The sequence below is a fragment of the Homo sapiens genome, chromosome 17, assembly GCF_000001405.40.
Source record: "Homo sapiens chromosome 17, GRCh38.p14 Primary Assembly".
NCBI classification, from domain to species: Eukaryota; Metazoa; Chordata; class Mammalia; order Primates; family Hominidae; genus Homo; species Homo sapiens.
The window spans coordinates 40374744-40398017 of record NC_000017.11 but is presented as its reverse complement, the minus strand read 5'-3'; the positions used below and the strand labels follow the sequence as shown (position 1 = coordinate 40398017).

At 43.8% G+C, this 23274-nt stretch overlaps 1 protein-coding gene and 1 pseudogene across 3 annotated transcripts in view; both read left to right on the top strand.

Moving 5' to 3' along the window:
• TOP2A (DNA topoisomerase II alpha) overlaps positions 1-9493 on the top strand; it is a 29372-nt gene extending 19879 nt beyond the window's left edge. For 2 of the 3 annotated variants that reach the window (NM_001067.4, XM_005257632.2), the window contains exons 28-35: positions 1553-1735; positions 2479-2569; positions 5281-5433; positions 5677-5800; positions 5907-5950; positions 6378-6512; positions 7854-8053; positions 8371-9493. In NM_001067.4, coding sequence (NP_001058.2) covers positions 1553-1735; positions 2479-2569; positions 5281-5433; positions 5677-5800; positions 5907-5950; positions 6378-6512; positions 7854-8053; positions 8371-8499 — 1059 coding nt within the window. In that variant the 3' untranslated portion in view covers positions 8500-9493. Of the gene's footprint in view, positions 1-1552; positions 1736-2478; positions 2570-5280; positions 5434-5676; positions 5801-5906; positions 5951-6377; positions 6513-7853; positions 8054-8370 lie in introns of those variants that run through there. The other variant, XM_011525165.3, reaches the window with a different exon arrangement.
• Positions 16180-17352, top strand: LOC100421674 (kelch repeat and BTB domain containing 2 pseudogene; annotated as a pseudogene).

The following is a 23274-nucleotide window of genomic DNA, read 5'->3' as shown; positions in this document are numbered from 1 at the left end:
TCACCTGAGGTTGGGAGTTCGAGACCAGCCTGACCAACATGGAGAAACCCTGTCTCTACTAAAATTGCAAAATTAGCCAGGCGTAGTGGCACATGCCTGTAATCCCAGCTACTTGGGAGGCTGAGGCAGGAGAATCACTTGAACTCGGGAGGCAGATGTTGCTGTGAGCTAAGATCACACCATTGCACTCCAGCCTGGGCAACAAGAGTGGAACTCCGTCTCAAAAAAAAAAAAAAAAATACTATTTAGAATACAGTAAATGATACCAGGAGACTGCCCAGACATTCAGACATTTCTGGACAAAAAAAGAAAAGAGCAGGAGTTGATTTTTGATAAAGGGAAGAACATATTAGGACTGAGAAGATAAAAAGAGCCTAAATGTGGAAGAAGACCACCAACCCAGTCCCCCAAGTCAACTTAAAAGGACAAAGCCACAGGGCATGGTGGCTCATGCCTGTAATCCCAGCACTCTGGGAGGCTGAGGTGGGCAGATCACTTGAGGTCAGGAGTTCGAGACCAGCCTGGACAACATGGTGAAACCCTGTCTCTACTAAAAATACAAAAATTAGTTGGGTGTGGTGGCATCCGCCTGTAATCCCAGCTACTCAGGAGGTTGAGGCAAGAAAATTGCTTGAACCCAGAAGGCAGAAGTTGCAGTGAGCCGAGATTGCGCCACTGTACTCCAGCCTGGGTGACAGAGCAAGACTCCATCTAAAAAAAAAAAAAAAAAAAGGAGAAAGCAGGGCTATCCAGATGGTTTCAGAAGGTTATTTGTTACTTAAATCTTCCTAATAACATTTGTTTCTCAACATTATTTTAACATAAGAAAAAAGGCCAGCACTGTGGCTCACACCTGTAATCCCAATGTGCTTTGGGAGGCTGAGGCAGGAGGATCACTTGAGATTAGGAGTTCAAAACCAGCTTGGGTAACGTAGCAAGACCTCATCTCTACAAAATGTTTTTTTTAAATAGCCAGGCATGGTGGTGTGGGCCTATAGTCTCAGCTACTCCGGAGGCCAAGGTGGGAGGATCACTTGAGACCAGGAGTTCAAGGCTGCAGTGAACTATGATCATGTACCATTGTACTCAGCCTGCGTGTCTCTTAAAAAAAAAAAAACAAAAAAAAAACCACCAAAAGCTTTATTTCTTAAATTTAACATGCAAATTTGTATTACTGCACTTCAGTATAGATGCCTAGCTCATTGTAATCAGTTGGTTGGATAAGTGTGCATCACTTCCTTTCATATTTTGTATGTGAGTTTACAAATATATATGTATATACATGTTTTATTTTTAGTTTCTCCCTTGTTTTCCTCAAAAAGGTTAAGTGGTAGAATCAGGAATAAAACCCAGTCCTTCTGTCTCCACACCTTCCTTTTCAAGGTGTGTTTTAATTACATCTTCACTATTGTTGATAGTATACTAGGTTATGGAGCAATTTATCACTAGTTTTTAAGATGTAACAAAATGAAATCAGTTTAACTGTTGGGTGTTTAGATATTGTAATGTTTTTGTTAACATTTAAACTTGCTTTCTTATATCCCTTCTGTAGGCTGTTGAAGCCAAGGAAAAACAAGATGAACAAGTCGGACTTCCTGGGAAAGGGGGGAAGGCCAAGGGGAAAAAAACACAAATGGCTGAAGTTTTGCCTTCTCCGCGTGGTCAAAGAGTCATTCCACGAATAACCATAGAAATGAAAGCAGAGGCAGAAAAGAAAAATAAAAAGAAAATTAAGGTAATACTCTTGTGGTGGCTCACACCTATAATCCCAGCACTTTGGGGGCCAAGGTGGGTGGATCACTTGAGGTCAGTGGTTCAAGACCAGCCTCCCAACATGGTTGAAACCCTGTCTCTACTAAAAATTAAAAAAATTAGGCGGGCATGGTGGCAGGCGCCTGTAATCCCAGCTACTCGGGAGACTGAGGCAGAAGAATCGCTTGAACCCGGGAGGCAGAGGTTGCAGTGAGCCAAGGTCACACCACTGCACTCCAGCCTGGCCAACAGAGCAAAACTCCATCTCAAAAAAAAAAAAGAGGTAATACTCTTAAAAATATTATGCATAAAATATTGATGCATATGTCCACTTAAAATTGAAAAAAAAATGTATAAAATTTTTTTGTTGTTGTTGTTGAGATGGAGTCTCGCTGTGTTACCCAGGCTGGAGTGCAATGGCAGGATCTCAGCTCACAGCAACCTCCGCCTCCCGTATTCAAGCGATTCTCGTGCCTCAGCCTCCCAAGTAGTTGGGGGCACATCACCACACCCAGCTAATTTTTGTATTTTTAGTAGAGATGGGGTTTCACCATCTTGGCCAGGCTGGTCTCGAACTCCTGACCTCAAGAGATCTGCCCACCACGGCCTCCCAAAGTGCTGGGATTACAGGCGTGAGCCACCGCTCCCAGCCAAAAATGTATAAAATCTCTAATCCCATAGTTCAGAATTTATTCTATATCCAACCCTAACTTTGCTATCTTTTAGAATGAAAATACTGAAGGAAGCCCTCAAGAAGATGGTGTGGAACTAGAAGGCCTAAAACAAAGATTAGAAAAGAAACAGAAAAGAGAACCAGGTATTACAACATTTTTAGAAAAATGGTATAAAGTGAAGATTAAATTGTGTTTGTTACCTAGTACATTCCACATAGATGTTCAAAACCTTTTTGTTGAATTGAGAAACGTGAAAGAGGACTGTATCTCAATTCTACTTGGACCTCTTTTTTTTTTTTTTTTTTTTTTTGAGACAGTTTCACTCTTGTTGCCCAGGCTGGAGTGCAATAGCACAATCTCGGCTCACTGCAATCTTCACCTCCTGGGTTCAAGCGATTCTCCTGCCTCAGCTTCCTGAGTAGCTGGGATTATAGGTGCATGCCACCACGCCTGGCTGCTTTTTGTATTTTTAGTAGAGACGGGGTTTCACCATGTTAGTCAGGCTGGTCTCAAACTCCTGACCTTGTGATTTGCCCGCCTTGGCCTCCCAAAGTGCTGGGATTACAGGCGTGAGCCACTGCCCCTGGCCTGGACCTCTTTAATATCGTCCTTGGGATTTGATTCATTATAGAAAATATTTTGTAATGAAGTAGTTTGTTAATTTGAATTCCTTAATTGGGATCTAAGAAAATACCCAGTTTATTAGATTTCATTTTCTAGCCACTTACGAGGTTCTAGTATACAAAGTTTCTTAAGAAAAGTGACTACATATTAGTAATGTTTGTAGTATCTCTAGAGTTCAACATCATGCTTCGGATATAAATAATGTCCACTCAATGAACTAAATAGAATTAATAATTCTGTTAATCATTTGATAATGCCTTTACTGTCTACTTTTTTTGAAACATCTTTATTGAGATATTCACATGCCAAATTTGCCCATTTAACGTATACCATTTGGCTGGGCGCCATGGCTTATGCCTGTAATCCCAGCACTTTGGGAGGCTGAGGCTGGCGGATCACTTGAGGTCAGGAGTTCAAGACCACCCTGGCCAACATGGTGAAACCCCATCTCTACTAAAAATACAAAAATTAGTTGAGTGTGGTGGTGCGTGCCTGTAGTCCCAGCTACTCGAGAGGCTGAGGCACGAGTGTCGCTTGAACCCAGGAGGCAGAGGTTGCAGAGAGCCAAGACTGTGCCATTGCACTCCAGCCTGGGTGACAGAGCAAGACTCCAACTCAAAAATAAAAATAAAGTATGCCATTCAGTGGTTTTAGTATAGACAAACAGTTTTAATACAATTTATTGCCCCCCAAGAAAACTGAACTCATTAACAATCATTTGCCATTTGCCACCAACTCCTCTCCACTGGGTGACCACTAAAAAATCTAGGGGCATTTCCTATAAATTAAATCATATAATATGTGGTCTTTTGGAGCTGACTTCTTTACTTAACACATTTTCAAGGGTAACCCATGTGGCAGCCCATATATTAGTACTTCATTCTTTTTTTTTTTTTTTTTTTGAGGCAGAGTTTCGCTCTGTCGCCCAGGCTGGCATGCAGTATGCAGTAGTAGTGAGATCTCGGCTCACTGCAACCTCCGCCTGCTAGGTTCAGGCAATTCTCCTGCCTCAGCCTCCCGAGGAGCTGGGATTACAGGCACGCACCACCATGCCCAAATAATTTTTGTATTTTTAGTAGAAACAGGGTTTCACCATGTTGGCCAGGATGGTCTCAAACTCCTGACCTCAAGCGATCTGCCCACCTCGGCCTCCCATTTTGCTAAGCCCGTGAAGGTAAACCTCTGTGTTTTCTTCTAAGCATTTTATAGTTTTAGCTCTTACATTTAGGTCTGTGATCCACTTTGAATTAGTTTTTGTATATGGTGTAAGGAAGGTGTCCAACCTGATTCTTTGCAGGTAGATATCCAATTATTTCAGTATCATATGTTAAAAAGACTTCTTTCTACAATGTTTGTCTTCACCCTTGTCAAAAATCAATTGACTATAAATGTTAAGGTTTATGTATGGAGTCTCAATTCTGTTCCACTGATTGAGCTATATATGTCCTTGAGTATCTACTTTTTTTGAGACAGGGTTTCACTCTTGCCCAGGCTGGTCTTGAAATCCTGGCTCAAGCAATCCTTCTATCTCAGCCTCCCAAGTAGCTGGGACTATAGGCACTCGCCACCATGACTAGCTAATTTCTAAAAGTTTTTTGTATTTTGTAGAGACAGTCCTTTTTTCTTTTTTTTTCTTTTTTTGAGACAAGATTTCACTCTGTCTCCCAGGCTGGAGTACAGTGGCATGATCACAGCCCACTGCAGCCTCGACCTCCCAGGCTCAAACAATCCTCCTGCCTCTGCCTCCGCCTCCCTAGTGGCTGGAACCACAGGCGCACTCCACCATGCCCATTAATTTCTGTATTTTTTGTAGAGATGGGGTTTTGCCATGTTGACCAGGCTGGTCTTTAGCTCCTGAGCTCAAGCGATCCGCCTACCTCACCCTCCCAAAGTGCTGAGATTACAGGTGTGAGCCACCGCACCCAGCCAAGACAGGGTCTTATATCTTACCCCAGCTGATCTCAAACCCCTGGGCTCAAGTAATCCTCCCGCCCCAGCCTCCCTAAGTGCTGGGATTACAGGCATGAGCCACTGTGCCCGGCCACATTTATTTATGAGATTAAGTGACCAAGCTATATGCACCACAAAAACAGAGACCATATCTGTCTCTTTTCACGATTGTATTCTCAGAACTATCACAGGAGTTAATAAATTTGAAGGATGGATGGATGATAGATGGAGAAAAGTGGGTCTAATATATAAAGGTGATTAATTTCTATCTCCCCTCTAGGTACAAAGACAAAGAAACAAACTACATTGGCATTTAAGCCAATCAAAAAAGGAAAGAAGAGAAATCCCTGGTCTGATTCAGAATCAGATAGGAGCAGTGACGAAAGTAATTTTGATGTCCCTCCACGAGAAACAGAGCCACGGAGAGCAGCAAGTAAGGAAAACTAAAGAACATTATAGATAAACTGTAAGAGTGGAATGGCCAATATACTTCAGGGTACTTTGCCCCAGAAATTACTGTGTCTTAATAGAGCAGTAAATTATGTTAAAGCTTTGAAACACTGAAGCATCTTTCAGGAGATTTAAAAACTAAAATATTCATGAAATGTTATGTCAACCTATGAATTGTTTCTCCTACTACCCTCTTTGATTTTTTTGTATATGGTTTTTTTACTAGCAAAAACAAAATTCACAATGGATTTGGATTCAGATGAAGATTTCTCAGATTTTGATGAAAAAACTGATGATGAAGATTTTGTCCCATCAGATGCTAGTCCACCTAAGACCAAAACTTCCCCAAAGCAAGTATCTTATCTAATATGGGTTTTGTCATGATTGTTTCTAATATATTGTTTTTTGCTTGACACATTTAGAATTGGTTGTCAGGATTTTTTTTTTTAATTCTAGACTTAGTAACAAAGAACTGAAACCACAGAAAAGTGTCGTGTCAGGTATGTATTTAAGTAAAAGTAGTGAGACATCTGCCTTACTGGGACACTCAGATCCAACTGGGTTCTAATCCTGGCTACATTATCCAAGTACTTCCTTTGGAAATAAATTTGAGTTCTTATTAACATTATGTTGATACTGTTCACTGGGTTTAGTTTCACATGTAAATAGGTACTGCATTCAGTATACTAAAAGTAATCATAGTGCTTGCCAGGTACTTTGCTAGGTGCTAGAGATACAAAAAATAAAAACTGTTCTTGCTGATAAAAAATTCAGAAATTAGAACAAAGTTTTAAGAGTATGTTTTAAATATTCCAGAAAAGTCACATATTTGGTGTTTAAATAGGAATTCATACCAGGGACAAAGCAGAAAATGGATTTTCATGTGTTGCTTAAATGTACTATTTTCCTTTCCATTTGAAATAATAGACCTTGAAGCTGATGATGTTAAGGGCAGTGTACCACTGTCTTCAAGCCCTCCTGCTACACATTTCCCAGATGAAACTGAAATTACAAACCCAGTTCCTAAAAAGAATGTGACAGTGAAGAAGACAGCAGCAAAAAGTAAGCCTAAATCTTTGAGATGGGTTAATGTTGCAATTACCTAACTGGTTTCCACGTGTCTATTTCAATTTTTTTATTGCCAAAACTTACTATTGATATTACAGATTAAATGTTTTCCAATTGGAAGCAATTTCTTTTCGATCTTTATAATCAAAATTAGTAGTCAAGGCTGTTCCAAAACAGTAAGTTATCTCTATTGATTGTTCAGTTACAGATCAAACTCCTTGTTCTACTCTTTTCCCTCCTTCTCACTACTGCACTTGACTAGTCAAAAAACAAAACAAAAGCCAGGCAGAGTGGCTCATGCCTGTAATCCCAGCACTTTGGGAGGCTAAAACAAGAGGATTGCTTGAGGCCAGGAGTTCAAGGCTGCAGTGAGCTATATGATCAAGCCACTGCACTCCAGCCTGAGTGAGAGAGCAAGACCCTGTCTCCAAAAATAAGGTAGTCCAAATGTTTAAAATCAGTGAGTTTCTCTCAGTACCAGGCTTCATCTAGTTCATTTCTGTGACAAGGATAGGATTTATAAGCAATTGCAATGTTTAACGTAAAACGTATTCTTGAAATTGAATTAAGTTTAAGGCTGGGTGCAGTGGCTCATGCCTGTAATCCCAGCACTTTGGGAGGCCAAGGTGGGTGGATCACCTGAGGTCAGGAGTTCGAGACTAGCCTGGCCAACATAGTGAAACCTCATCTCTACTAAAAACACAAAATTAGCCAGGTGTGGTGGCACATGCCTGTAGTCAGCTACTCGGGAGGCTGAAACAGGAGAATCACTTGAACCCAGGAGGCAGAGGCTACAGTGAGCCGAGATCGTGCCACTGCACTCCAGCCTGGGCGAGATAGAGCAAGATGCTGTCTCAAAAAAAAAAAAAAAAAAATAGAATGTTTAAGAATACTTTGATTCTCTGTTTTCACCTCTCTTAGATTGTCTTTTCCTATGTTAAATATACAGTCATCACATTGCTGAAGAAAGTTCGCAATGAGAACAATTCATCTAAGAGTGGCTGTGACTAGGTCAGGCGCGGTTGCTCATGCCTGTAATCCCAGCACTTTGGGAGGCCGAGGCGAGTGGATCACCTGAGGTCAGGAGTTTGAGACCAGCTTGACCAACATGGTGGAATCCCATCTCTACTAAAAATACAAAAAATTAGCCGGGTGTGGTGGCACACGCCTGTAATCCCAGCTACTCAGGAGGCTGAGGCAGGAGAATCGCTTGAACCCAGGAGGCAGAGGTTGCAGTGAGCCGAGATAACACCACTGCACTCCAGCCTGGACGATAGAGTGAGACCCCATCTCAAAAAAAGAGCAGCTGTGACAAATGCCTGTATTGAATTGCAGGTCAGTCTTCCACCTCCACTACCGGTGCCAAAAAAAGGGCTGCCCCAAAAGGAACTAAAAGGGATCCAGCTTTGAATTCTGGTGTCTCTCAAAAGCCTGATCCTGCCAAAACCAAGAATCGCCGCAAAAGGAAGCCATCCACTTCTGATGATTCTGACTCTAATTTTGAGAAAATTGTTTCGAAAGCAGTCACAAGCAAGGTGAGTGTTGATCCTAGTCAGTCCTTTTGCTGTAGATGTTCTGAAACACGTAACTAAGCCATTGCTCTTAAAAATTTGGCATATCTTTAAGAAAATTAACTCTCATATTCTGTTAGCTTTTACTGTACATATTTAGTTTTAACAAAGTTAAATATGCCACTTATTTGGGCAATGGAAGAGTTGGCCTTAGATCTGCTTCTTATTACTTGGTAGAAAATAGAAAACTCCTTGAATATAGTGTCTTGATACATTTTTTTACATTACAATTATGTTGTCAGATTTACAATGTGCAAGTTACCTGGGCTTTTCTCTTTTAGAAATCCAAGGGGGAGAGTGATGACTTCCATATGGACTTTGACTCAGCTGTGGCTCCTCGGGCAAAATCTGTACGGGCAAAGAAACCTATAAAGTACCTGGAAGAGTCAGATGAAGATGATCTGTTTTAAAATGTGAGGCGATTATTTTAAGTAATTATCTTACCAAGCCCAAGACTGGTTTTAAAGTTACCTGAAGCTCTTAACTTCCTCCCCTCTGAATTTAGTTTGGGGAAGGTGTTTTTAGTACAAGACATCAAAGTGAAGTAAAGCCCAAGTGTTCTTTAGCTTTTTATAATACTGTCTAAATAGTGACCATCTCATGGGCATTGTTTTCTTCTCTGCTTTGTCTGTGTTTTGAGTCTGCTTTCTTTTGTCTTTAAAACCTGATTTTTAAGTTCTTCTGAACTGTAGAAATAGCTATCTGATCACTTCAGCGTAAAGCAGTGTGTTTATTAACCATCCACTAAGCTAAAACTAGAGCAGTTTGATTTAAAAGTGTCACTCTTCCTCCTTTTCTACTTTCAGTAGATATGAGATAGAGCATAATTATCTGTTTTATCTTAGTTTTATACATAATTTACCATCAGATAGAACTTTATGGTTCTAGTACAGATACTCTACTACACTCAGCCTCTTATGTGCCAAGTTTTTCTTTAAGCAATGAGAAATTGCTCATGTTCTTCATCTTCTCAAATCATCAGAGGCCGAAGAAAAACACTTTGGCTGTGTCTATAACTTGACACAGTCAATAGAATGAAGAAAATTAGAGTAGTTATGTGATTATTTCAGCTCTTGACCTGTCCCCTCTGGCTGCCTCTGAGTCTGAATCTCCCAAAGAGAGAAACCAATTTCTAAGAGGACTGGATTGCAGAAGACTCGGGGACAACATTTGATCCAAGATCTTAAATGTTATATTGATAACCATGCTCAGCAATGAGCTATTAGATTCATTTTGGGAAATCTCCATAATTTCAATTTGTAAACTTTGTTAAGACCTGTCTACATTGTTATATGTGTGTGACTTGAGTAATGTTATCAACGTTTTTGTAAATATTTACTATGTTTTTCTATTAGCTAAATTCCAACAATTTTGTACTTTAATAAAATGTTCTAAACATTGCAACCCATAGAATGCCTCTTTTAAAACACACACTACACCCTTTTCCTTATTCTAAAATATAGTCTTCACTTCCCTTTCAGAAGCATTCCAATCATATTGTGACAGACCTTACAGCCTCTGGCTAAGGTGATAAGTCCAAGAGATAGGCATTAAGACCTAATTAAGGCCAAAGACTCTTTATTGAGATTTTATACATGAGGACTAAGTTCTTCATCTCCACCACACTTGATCAGTAAATATGCATGTATCTTTTTTTTTTAATGATACCTTCCTTTAACAACTATTTTGATAACCTAGTCAACTACTTGATGGTATCAGTAAGATATATTGAGGCAACTGGCTAATCCATTTAGAAAAAAAATCAGATAAATCTCTTTCACACCTTACACCAAAATTAAGTTCAAATAGATGAAATATTTAAATGTCAAAAACTATTTAAAAAGTAACTATAAAAAAAGTAATCTTGAGTTACAGAGGGATAAACTGAACAAAACCCAAAAGTAGTGTTGACAAAGATATGGAGGAATTAGCCCTTTCAAAGAAATCTGGGCCAGGCATGGTGGCTCACACCTGTAATCCCAGCAGTTTGGGAGGCCAAGGAGGGAAGATTGCTTGAGCCCAGGAAGCAGAGGTTACAGTGACCAGAGATTGTGCCACTGCATTCCAGCCTGAGCAAGTCCCTGTCTCAAAAAAAAAAAAAAAAAGGAATTTCGTTTGACAGAAGAATCAGACATGCAAAAAACTATGTAAACACACACAAATATGAGTATAAGTAAATCTGAGTAAGATCAATGGGTTGCTTCAATGTAAGTATTCTGGTTACTATATAATTTTGCAAAATTGGGAAATGGGCAAAGTATACGATGGATCTCCATTCTTTTTTTTTTCCTTTCAGAAAGAGTCCTTGTTTCTGATCCATTTCTTTTTTTTTTTTTCTGGGACAGAGTCTTGCTCTGTCGCCCAGGCTGGAGTGCACTGGGGCCATCTTGACTCATTGCAACTTCTGCCTCCCGGGTACAAACGATTCTCCTGCCTCAGCCTCCCGAGTAGCTGGCATTATAGGTGCATGCCACCACGCCCAGCTAATTTTTGTATTTTTAGTAGAGACAGGGTTTCACCATGTTGGCCCGGCTGGTCTCAAACTCCTGACCTTGTGATCCGCCCACCTCAGCCTCCCAAAGTGCTGGGATTACAGGCGTGAGCCACCATGCCCGGCCTGATCCATTTCTTAAAACTATGTGAATGTACAACTATATCAAAACAAAGCCACATGCAAAGATGCTTATTGAAGTTGCTGTAATAATAAAATGGAAAATAACCTAAATGTCCAAAAGGTTAAAATGGTAAATATGGAATACCAGGTGCCTATTAGGAATGATCATGTAGGCCAGGCGCAGTGGCTCACGCCTGTAATCCCAGCACTTTGGGAGCCCAAGGCAAGCAGACCACGAGGTCAGGAGTTCGAGACCAGCCTGACCAACATGGTGAAACCCCGTCTCTACTAAAAATACAAAAATTAGCCAGGTGTGGTGGCGTGCACCTGTAATCCCAACTACTCAGGAGGCTGAGGCAGGAGAATCGCTTGAACCCAGGAGGTGGAGGTTGCAGTGAGCCAAGATCGTGCTATTGCACTCCATCCTGGGTAACATGAGTGAAATTCCATCAAGAAAAAAAAAATGATCAGGTAGACCAGGCACAGTGGTTCATACATGTATTCCCAGCACTTTGGGAGGCTGAAGTGGGAAGATTGCTTGAGCCCAGGAGTTTGAGACCAGCCTGGGCAACGTAGTGAGACCCCCATCTCTACAAAAAAAAAGGTAAAAATCAGCTGGACATGGTGGTGCATGCCTGTGGTCCCAGCTACTTGGAAGGCTGAGGCAGGAGTATTGCTTGAGCCCAGGGGGCTGCAGTGAGCCATGATGGCACTGCACTCCAGCCTGGGCAACAGAGCAAGACTGTCTCAAAAAAAAAAAAAAATGAATGATCATCTATACTGTTTATTTATTGACATTTATTGACATGAAAAGATAGATGTTCACGACATTGCCAAGTGGAAAAAAGCAGATTACAAATCAAAGATGAAATCCCCATCTGGTAAATATGCCAGTTGTTTACAAAATAAATAGTGGGAGGAAAGTATGTAAACTCTTTTTAGAAAGTAAAAGAATCAAATATTTTTCCTTTTTTTTTTTTTTGGAGATAGAATCTCATTTTGGCACCCAGGCTGGAGTGCAGTGGTACGATCTCAGCTCACTGCAATTCTCTGCTTTCTGCCTCCCAAGGTCAAGCAATTCTCATGCCTCAGCCTCCCAAGTAGCTGGGACTACAGGCGCCTACTGCCATGCCTGGCTAATTCTTTGTGTTTTTATTTGTGGGATTTTCTGGGTTTTTTTGTTTTTTGGGGGATAAAGTCTTGTCTTGCTCTATCACCCAGGCTGGAGTGCAGTGGCACGATCTCGGCTCACTATAACCTCCGCCTGCCTGGTTCAAGTGATTCTCATGCCTCAGCCTCCCAAGTGGCTGGGATCACAGGGAATACAAAAATTACAGTTAATTTTTGTATTTTTAGTAGAGATGGAGTTTCACCATGTTGTCCAGGCTGGTCTCGAATTCCTGACCTCAAGTGATCGTCCCACTTCAGACACCCAAAGTGCTGGGATTACAGGCATGAGCCACCACGCCCAGCTTAAATTTTTTGTATTTTTAGTAGAGATGGGGTTTCACCATGTTGCCCAGGCTGGTCTGAGCTCAGGCAATCCGCCTGCCTCCGCGTCCCAAAGTGCTGGGATTACAGGCCTGAGCCACCGCGCCCGGCCAATAGTTCTCTTTTGAAAGTAGAAGTTTTACATTTCCTGATGAGTAAAGACCTTGCTAACTGAAAGCGGATAATGTTTCCTTGACTCTTTTTTTTCTTTTTTTCTTTTTTTGAGACAAGGTTTCACTCTACCATCCAGGCTGGAGTGCAGTGGCTCAATCTCGGCCCACTGCAACCTCTGCCTCCTGGGCTCAAGCGATCCTCCTGCCTCAGCCTCCCAAATAGCTGGGACCACAGGTACACACCACCACACCTGGCTAATTTTTGTATTTTTTGTAGAGGCAGGGTCTCACTATGTTGCCCCGGCTGTTCTGGAACTCCTGGGCTCAAGTGATCCACCTGCCTCAACCTCCCAAAGAGCTGCGATTACAGGCGTGAGCCACCATGCCAGGCCTATTCATTATTTCTTTTTTTTTTCTTTTATTTATTTATTTTTTTTTTGAAATGGAATCTGACTCTGCCGCCCAGGCTGGAGTGCAGTGGCACAATCTCAGCTCACTGCAACCTCCGCCTCCCAGGTTCAAGCGATTCTCCTGCCTCAGCCTCCCAAGTAGCTGGGACTACAGCCGCCTGCCACCACGCCTGGCTAATTTTTTATATTTTTAGTAGAGACAGGGTTTCACCATGTTAGCCATGATGGTCTCGATCTCCTGACCTCGTGATCCACCCGCCTCGGCCTCCCAAAGTGCTGGGATTACAGGCGTGAGCCACTGCGCCTGGCCTTCGGCCTTCATTATTTCTTAAGCTACTGACACATTAAAGGATATAAAGATTTGCTAATAAACGTGATAGTTTTATGTATTTAGACCCTTTATAGAATGTGGTTATTTCCTATGTGTATGAAACATTCCTTAAATACATATAAGTTATGAATTACAAAAGAATGGCTATTGAGAAAAGACTCAAAAGTTGCATTAATTGGTAAAGGATTCAACAGTAAGTTTACTGAGTCTTTTTTTTTTTATTTTATTTTTTCCATGAGACAGAGTCTTGCTCTGCTGCCCAGGCTGGAGTGCAGTGGCACCATTTCAGCTCACTGCAACCTCCGCCTCCTGGGCTCAAGCAATTCTCCTGCCTCAGCCTCCCAAGTACCTAGGATTGCAGGCACCTGCCACCACTCCCGGCTTTTTTCTTTTTTTTTTTTTTTTAAGATTGAGTCTCGTTCTGTCGCCCAGGCTGGAGTGGAATGGCACAGCTTCGGCTCACTGCAACCTCCGCCTCCCAGGTTCAAGCGATTCTCCTGCCTCAGCCTCCCGAGTACCTGGGATTACAAGCGCACGCCACCACACCCAGCTAATTTTTGTATTTTTAGTAAAGGCAGAGTTTTACCAGTTTGGCCGGGCTGGTCTTGAGTTCCTGACCTCAGGTGATCCACCCATCTCAGCCTCCCAAAGTGCTGGGATTACAGGCGTGAGCCACTGTGCCCAGCCTGGCCCTTTTTGTTTTTAAGATACAGTGCATCCCACTGTTTCTGCTGCAATGGATTTTTTTTTTAATGATTTCTAGCCATTTTTCCTGAAACCCAAACAGAAAAATTTAATTCATTAACTTTTCATTCTTGAGTAATGGATACCTGTTCTTGCCTGTCCCGTACCCTTTCCTCAGTAATTTAGCTGTGGAAAAATATGTTAAAGTCCAAACGAAAACATTTAAGTCCAAAAGCATTCATTGAAGCATTATTTACACTGGTGAGAAATTGGGAACAACATAGATGTCTCACAATAGAAGAATTGGTTAAACTGGGCCAGGTACAGTGGCTCACGCCTGTAATCCCAGCACTTTGGGAGGCCTAGGCAGGCAGATTGCCTGAGCTCAGGAGACCAGCCTGGGCAACATGTCGAAACCCTGTCTCTACTGAAAATACAAAAATTACCTGAGTGTGGTGGTGCACACCTGTAGTCTCAGCTACTTGGGAGGCTGAGACACAAGACTCGCTTGAACCCAGGAAGTGCAGGTTGCAGTGAGCCAAGACTGCGCCACTATAGTCCAGACTGGGCAACAGCAAGAGACTCTGTCTCAAAAATAAATAAATAAATAAATAAAAGAAGAATTGGTTAAACTGGAACATCCTTACCTACAATGTATTGTACAGCCATTAGAAGTCATGTTTTTCCAAAACATCTAATACTACAGGAAAGTCCTCATTATGTTGGGTAGAGAGACAAAAGGGTACAAAACTATTTAGTATCATTTTGTCAAAACTCATCAAATTATACATTATAAAATGGTGCACTATGTGTAAATTCTACCTCAATATGGTGGGGGGAGTAACTGTTATATACTATGAGGCTTAAAATATAAACCAATCCTTCTCAAACCTGTGCTTAAAAAAATTTTTTTTTTTTTTTTTTTTGAGATGGAGTCTCACTCTGTCACCTAGGTTGGAATACAGTGGCACGATCTCGGCTAACTGCAACCTCTGCCTCCCAGGTTCAAGCAATTCTCTGCCTCAGCCTCCCGAGTAGCTGGGATTACAGGTGCCCACCGCCACACCCGGCTAATTTTTGTATTTTTAGTAGAGACAGGGTTTCACCATCTTGGCCAGGCTGGTCTTGAACTCCTGACCTCGTGATCCACCCGCTTGGCCTCCCAAAGTGCTGGGATTACACGCGTGAGCCACCGTGCCTGGTGCTTAAAAATTTTTTAGGGATCTTATTAAATTACAGATTATGATTCAGTAGGTCTGAGCTGGGGCCTGAGATTCTGCATTACAAGTTCCCAAAATGATGTCAATGCCTCTGGTTGCAGACCCTACTTGGAACAGCCAAGGTGCACATATCCAGTGCTTCTCAATGTATGATACCTGGACCAACAGTGTCAGGGACACCTGGGAGCTTCTTAGAAATTCAAATTATCAGCTGGATGTGGTGGCTCATGCCTGTAATCCCAGCACCTTAGGAGGCTGACATGGGTGGATTGCCTGAGGTCAGGAGTTCAAGACCAGCGTAGCCAACAGTGAAACCCTGTCTCTACTAGAAATACAAAAAATTAGCTGGGCATGGTGGCGGGCATCTGTAATCCCAGCTACTCGAGAGGCTGAGGCAGAAGAATTGCTTGAACCTAGGAGGTGGAGGTTGCAGTGAGCCAAGATTGTGCCAATGCACTCCAGCCTGGGAAACAAGAGGGAAACTGTCTCAAAAAAAAAAAAAAAAGAAAGAAAGAAAGAAATTCAAATTATCGGCTCCACTCCAAAACTTCTGACTCAGAAGCACTGTTTTAACAAGCCCTCCAGTTAATTCTGATGCACGCTAAAGTTTCAGAACCACTGTTATCTGAATCCAAAGGCATTTTGCAAGTCGCAGCAAAATGTCAGCTGCTTTTATCTGGAGAATGAGATTTCGATGATTTTTGTTTTCTTTGTGCTTTCCTATAGTTTATAAAAATAAGTATGTGTTTTCTTGTCTGGGTGCAGTAGTTCACACCTGTAATCCCAACATTTTGGGAGGCCAAGACAGGTGGAACACTTGAGGTCAAGAGTTCGAGACCAGCCTGGCCAACATGGTTAAACCCCATCTCCACTAAAAATACAAAAATTAGCTGGGTGTGGTGGCACATGCCTGTAATACCAGCTACTCGGTCAGCTGAGACAGGAGAATCATTTGAACCCAGGAGGTGGAGGTTGCAGTGAGCCAAGATCGCACCACTGTACTCCAGCCTGGGTGACAGACAGCAAAACCCTGTCTTAAAAAAAAAAAAAAGTTAATAGGGCATGGTGGCTTGCACCTGTGGTCCCAGCTACTCAGGAGGCTGAGGTGGGAGAATCCCTTAAACCCATGAGGTCAAAGCTGCAATGAGCCATGATCGTGCCACTGCACATCAGCCTGGGTGATAGGGCAAGACCTTGTCTCAAAAATACATAAATAAATACAGAGAATTGTTGAGTTTTGCCAGTCTCTTCTGTTGCGAGGAATTAAAATGCTAAAAAATTAGTGGGCACAAACTCACTTCTGGGTACCAGCAGGAAGGCTCACAAAGCTGCTCTCTGACCTACTGATAGGTGTCCTCAGTAGGACAAGTCATCTGTGGGAAATCAGGACAGTTTGCAAAACAACTGAGCTGCATGGCTAGAGGTCAACACAGAGTTACACCTTCACAATATTTAGCTTGAGTTCCCAACCACATCAAATTCATGCTCTTGGGGTGACTAAGAAATAATGATTTTCATTAAAGCGTCTTCAGAAGAGCCTTGTTTTTTGTTTTGAGACAGTCTCACTCTGTCGCCCAGGCTGGAGTGCAGTGGCACAATCTCAGCTCACTGCAACCTCCACCTCCCAGGTTCAAGCAATTCTCCTGTCTCAGCCTCCCGAGTAGCTGGGACTACAGGCGTGTGCCACCATGCCCAGCTAATTTTTGTATTTTTAGTACAGACGGGGTTTCACCAAGCTGGCCATGCTGGTCTCGAACTCCTGGTTTCAAGTGATCCTCTCACCTCGACCTCCCAAAGTGCTGGGATTACAGGCATGAGAGACCGTGCCTGGCCCGACCCTTGTATTCTTTATTTTTCTGTTTGTACAACCCCCACTGCAAAAAGTACACAAGCTTTGCAGCCCACCAGCCAATTTGCATAAGATTGGATAATTGTAACTCCTGATACTTCTAGAGCTGGTGATCAAGTAGCTCTTTCTGAAAAACACAAATAGGAATCAGTAAAAATAAGCCAAAGTCAAGCTGTCTTCAGATCTGGAATTACTTTTACTGGTCCAATGCACAGCAAAATTTCCAAAGACCCTGATGCTTCTTGTCCACTGGTTTGCTGTAAAGGCTACAACTATCACCTGGAGGAGAGTGTAGGCAGAGAACTCAATCAGAAGACAGCAGAAAGGTATGACACTGAGGAGGGTGAATAGACTGCTTGTGCTCAGCAGTTGCTGGTCCACACTGCAGTTATGTGATAACGCTGAGCCTCGTGTCACTTTCCAAGGTCTGAAGCGGTGGCCATGAGGCAGATTAGCAGGTCCTTTACTTGGGTTGCAGCTTTTGGTAGTAACACCTTGTACAGTGCATAAGACTCCCTTCTGACACAGTAGATATGTCTTCAATAATTGAAAAATAACAGTGTGAAGAAAGAAGGCTGGCCAGGTGTGGTGGCTCAGTCTATAATCCCAGCACTTTGGGAGGTAGAGGCAGACAGATCACGAGGTCAGGAGATCAAGACCATCCTGGCTAACATGGTGAAATCCCGTCTCTACTAAAAATACAAAACTTAGCCGGGCATGGTGGCGGGCGCCTGTAGTCCCAGCTACTCGGAAGGCTGAAGCAGGAGAATGGCGTGAAGCCAGGAGGCGGAGCTTGCAGTGAGCTGAGTGAGATCGTACCACTGCACTCCAGCCTGGACGATAGAGCGAGACTCTTCCTCAAAAACAAAGAAAGAAAAAAAAAAGAAAGACTCGGAAATGATGGCCAATATTCCTGCTAAGTGATACTCTGGCCAGAAGCAGTGGCTCACGCCTATAATCCCAGCACTTTGGAAGGCGGAGGTGGGAGGATCACGAAGTCAGGAGTTCCAGACCAGCCTGACCAACATGGTGAAACCCCGTCTCTACGAAAAATACAAAAGTTAGCTGGGCATGGTGGCGCACACCTATAATCCCAGCTACTGGGGAGGCTGAGGCAGAAGAATCGATTGAACCCGGGAGGCGGAAGTTGCAGTGAGCTGAGATTACGCCACTGCACTCCAGCCTGGGCAGCAGAGCGAGACTCCATCTCAAAAAAAAGATAAAGAAAAAGAAGTTTTGGCCAGGCACAGTGGCTCACGCCTGTAATCCCAGCACTTTGGAAGGCCAAGGGGGGCGGATCACTTGAGGTCAAAAGTTCAAAACCAGCCTGGCCAAGATGGTGAAACCCTGTCTCTACTAAACATACTAAAACCACCAATGTGCCGGGCACGGTGGCTCACACCTGTAATCCCAGCACTTCGGGAGGCTGAGGTGGGCGGATAACGAGGTCAGGAACTCAAGACCAGCCTGGCCAATATGGTGAAACCCCGTCTCTACTAAAAATACAAAAATTAGCCGGGCGTGGTGGCACATGCCTGTAGTCCCAGCTACTTGGGAGGCTGAGGCAGAAGAATTGCTTGGACCCGGGAGGTGGAGGTTGCAATGAGCTGAGATTGCGCCACTGCACTCGAGCCTAGGCAACAGAGGGAGACTCCATCTCAAAAAAAAAAAAGAAAGAAAGAAAAAGAAAGAAAGAAAACCAGTAATGTATCTTTTCTTGCCGGATGAAACAGGAGTTTGAGCTGGATGGAAAAATGGTTGCCTTACCATCTGTGTGGTTGTAGAATCCAGGGAGTGCAAACTCAAATTATGTGCTTTATAATTGTCTCTGTTAGACAAAAGAGTCTATGAAAAGACTAAATATGAGAACATAAAAACCCATCTTTGATAAATTACAAAGTGAAAAGGTGGAGCGCTCTGGCAGACACCACATTAACTAAGTGATCAAACTTGGCACACCAGTAATGAGACCAAATGCCATAATGTGCTCCTGATGTGATGCAATGGGAAGCGTACATCATCACTCATGGAGTATCCTTGCCAAAAAGACTTAACTTGAACCTAATCATGAGCGAACAATTAGACAAAGTGAGTTATAAAACAAATTCCCACTGAAAGGGGTGAACTTGGGGACTGCTGCTGATAAAACAGACAGGCTCAACTACAAGAAAAGAAGCAACCTGGGCCTGGTGCGGTGGCTCACGCCTCTAATCCCAGTGCTTTAGGAGGCTGAGGTGGGCGGATCACGAGGTCAGGAGTCCAAGACCAGCCTGGCCAATATGGTGAAACCCCATCTCTAATAAAAAAAAAAATTAGCCACCCGTGGTGGCGCGCGCCTATAATCCCAGTTACTCAGGAGGCTGAGGCAGGAGAATCGCTTGAACCCAAGAGGCGGAGGTTGCAGTGAACCAAGATCACACCATTGCACTCCAGCCTGGGCAACAGAGCAAGACTCTGTCAAAAAAAAAAAAAAAGCAGCAACCTGGTCCCAAATCTCAGCCTTGAATCACTAACCCTAAATCTCAGTCTTCATTTATTTTTAATGTAGAAATCCTCTGTCCACCTGACATGGTCAAACTGTTCGGAGTGGGACAGATGACTTTACATCCCTGAGGGTAAAGAAATAATATGGAAATGATAAGGTAATCAAACCCATAGTATTTATAATTTAGTGTTAAAAGTCATCAGGATAATGTGTCTGTATTGCATATTTTAAATGTCTCTAATGTTTAAGAGAACGTAACATTCTTTCAACCTGTCACATTAGAGAATCTTTCAGATTTGCCTTGTAATTTCAATTTTTTTTAAGAGACAAGAGTCTTGCTCTGTCACCCGGGCTGGAATGCAATGGCACGGCTATGGCTCACTGCAGCCTCTACTACCTGGGCTCAAATGATCCTCTCATCTAGGCCTCCTGTGTAGCTGGGACTACAGACACTTGCCACCACGCCTACACCCAGCTGTTTCTTTTGGTTTTGGTTTTTACTCTCCCTCAAATCTTGGAACCCAGCTGTTTTTTTCAATTTAAATGCACAATTTTCTAGGTATGATTTAACATTGAAAGGCTTAAGGAACTTGATTAAATTTGTAAACATTATAACATTTTTGTAAAACTTAAAAGAACCTGAATTAGGGCGGGGTGCGGTGGCTCACGCCTGTAATTCCAGCAGTTTGGGACGCCGAGGTGGGAGGATCATTTGAGGTCAGGAGTTCGAGACCAGCCTCACCAATACGGTGAAATCCTGTCTCTACTGAAACTACAAAAATTAGCCGGACATCCGGACATGGTGGCGCAAGCCTGTAGTCCCAGCTACTGGGGTGGATGAAGCAGGATAATCGCTTGAACGTGGGTGGTGGAGGTTGCAGTGAGCTGAGATCGTGCCACTGCACTCCAGCCTGGGAGACAGAGCAAGGCTACTCCAACCCCAAAAAAAAAAAAAAAAAAAAAAAAAAAAAAAAAAAAAAAAGCACATGAATTACCACATTGGTAAATTTGGTTTATTTGCTTTACAAGTTGTTTTAATGCATAGGAAGATATTGTTTTTTTAGAGTTGCACGTCTGCCCCCTCAGGCATTAGAAGTGTTTAGAAATGTAATCAATTAGATGTTTTATGCTTAGGCAAATTTGACTTCTCAAAAGTGAGGTAATTAAAAATTAGATAATACGTGAAAGTGATTATTCTTATTATTATTTTGTTGAGAGACAGTCTTGCTGTTGCCCACGTTGGAGTGCAATGGCACAATCTCAGTTCACTGCAACCTCCACCGCCCAGGTTCAAACAATTCTTCCGCCTCAGCCTCCGGAGTGGGATTACAGGCGCAGGCCGCCATTCCCCGCTAATTTTTTGTATTTTAGTAAAGATTGGGTTTCACCGTATTACCCAGATTGATCTCGAACTCTTCAGCTCAGACAATCCGCTGGCCTCGACCTCCCAAAGTGCTGGTGGGTGCGGAATTGGTGGGTTCTTGGTCTCACTGACTTAAAGAATGAAGCTGTGCACCCTCGCGGTGAGTGTCACAGTTCTTAAAAACAGTGTGTGCGGAGTTCGTTCCTTCTGCTGCCTTCTGCTGTTTGGATGTGTTTGGAGTTTCTTCCTTCTGGTGGGTTTGTGGTTTCGCTGGCTGAGGACTGAAGCTGCGGACCTTCGCGGTGAGTGTTACAGCTCTTAAGGGGGCGCGTGTGGAGTTATTCATTCCTCCTGGTGAGTTCATGGCCTCACTGGCTTCAAGAGTGAAGACGCAGACCTTCCAGATGAGTGTTACAGCTCATAAAGGCAATGTGGACCCAAAGAGAGACAGCAGTAAGATCTGTACAACCTGAAAACCGTACAACAACAAATCTTCCACAATGTGGAAGGTGATCTCAGCGGGTTGCCACTGTTGGCTCCAGCAGCCTGCTTTTATTCTCTTATCTGGCCCCACCCATATCCTGCTGATTGGTCCATTTTACAGAGAGCCGATTGGTCCATTTTACAGAGAGCCGATTGGTCCATTTTACAGAGAGCTGATTGGTCCGTTTTTGACAGGGTGCTGATTGGTGCGTTTACAATCCCTGAGCTAGACAAAAAAGTTCTCCATGTCCCCACTAGATTAGCTAGATACAGAGTGTCCACACAAAGGTTCTCCAAGTCCCCACCAGAGTAGCTAGATACAAAGTGTCAATTGGTGCATTCACAAACCCTGAGCTAGACACAGGGTGCTGACTGGTGTGTTTACAAACCTTGAGCTAGATACAGAGTGATGATTGGTGTATTTACAATCCCTTAGCTAGACATAAAGGTTCTCCAAGTCTCCACCAGAGTAGCTAGATACAGAGTGTCGATTGGTGCATTCACAAACCCTGAGCCAGATACAGAGTGCCAATTGGTGTATTTACAATCCCCTAGCCTAGACATAAAGGTTCTCCAAGTCCCCACCAGACTCAGGAGCCTAGCTGGCTTCACCCAGTGGATCCCGCACCAGGGCTGCAGGTGGAGCTGCCTGCCAGTCCCGTGCCGTGTGCCTGCACTCCTCAGCCCTTGGGTGGTCGATGGGACTGGGTGCGTGGAGCAGGAGGCAGTGCTCGTCGAGGAGGCTTGGGCCGCACAGGAGCCCACAGGAGGGGAGGCTCAGGCATGGCAGGCTGCAGGTCCCGAGCCCTGCCCCGTGGGGAGGCAGCTAAGGCCCAGCAAGAAATGGAGCACAGTGCCAGTGGGCCGGCACTGCTGGGGAACCCAGCACACCCTCTGCAGCCGCTGGCCCGGATGCTAAGCCCCTCATTGCCCGGGGCCAGCAGGGCCGGCAGGCCGCTCTGAGTGCGAGTGCAAGGCCTGCCAAGTCCACGCCCACCCGGAACTCCAGCTGGCCCACAAGGGCCGAGCGTGCAGCCCCGGTTCCTGCTTGCGCCTCTCCCTCCACACCTCCCTGCAAGCTGAGGGAGCCGGCTCCGACCTTGGCCAGCCCAGAAAGGGGCTCCCACAGTGCAGCGGTGGGCTGAAGGGCTCCTCAAGTGCCACCGAAGTGGGAGCCCAGGCAGAGGAGGCACCCAGAGCGAGCAAGGGCTGCCAGCACACTGTCACCTCTCACTGGGATTACAGGTGTAAGCCACCGTGCCCGGCCCCAAATTATTAAATGTATAACTAGAATAACAAACTGTGTAAATTGGACCTGAAGGCTTAAAAGGAAAAAATTGGATTTTTTAAAATTTAAAGTTTTGATCAACTGTAAATAAATTCAAACCCAAGGATACTGATTTTGAGCTCAAAATCCCTTTCAAACATTAGAAACTCACGGGGCGCTGTGGCTCACGCCTGGAATCCCAGTTCTTAGAGAGGCAGAGGCGGGCAGATATCTTGAGCCCAGGAGTTCAGACCTGCCTGGGCAATATAGCTAGAACCTATTCTCCACAAAAAGGGGGGGAAAATGTGTAACTCAAACATTAGAAATTCAAACTGATAGTGAGGTAGGAGGCGGGACTCGACTCTGCGGGCAGGCCTGGGACACCGGACAAAATTGAGGACTAGCTAAAACAGGGATGAGTGGAAGCAGCTTTCCGTCAGTGCCCACCAGTGGGCCCTGTCAGTTTCCCATTGCCATGGCAACACCCAGGGGAGTTACCGCCCCTTTCCATGGCAACAACCTAACCACCGGGAAGTTACCATCCTTTTCCTAAAAATTTCTGCATAAACCTCCCCTTAATTTGCATATAACTAAAAGTGGGTATGCATGTGACTGCAGACCTGCCTCTGAGCTGCTTCTCTGGGCACATTGCCTATGGGGTAGCCCCGCTCCGCATGGAGCAGCACCTCTGCTGCTGCTGTGCATCAATGCGTCAATAAAAATTGCTAACACCACCAGCTCACCCTTAAATTCTTTCCTGGGCAAAGCCAAAAACTCTCTTGGGCTAAGCCTCACTTTTGGGGCTTGCCTGTCCTGCATCATCAGGAGCAAGCCAGATTACCCTATTTCATAAAGAATAGGGAAAAGACAGTCAA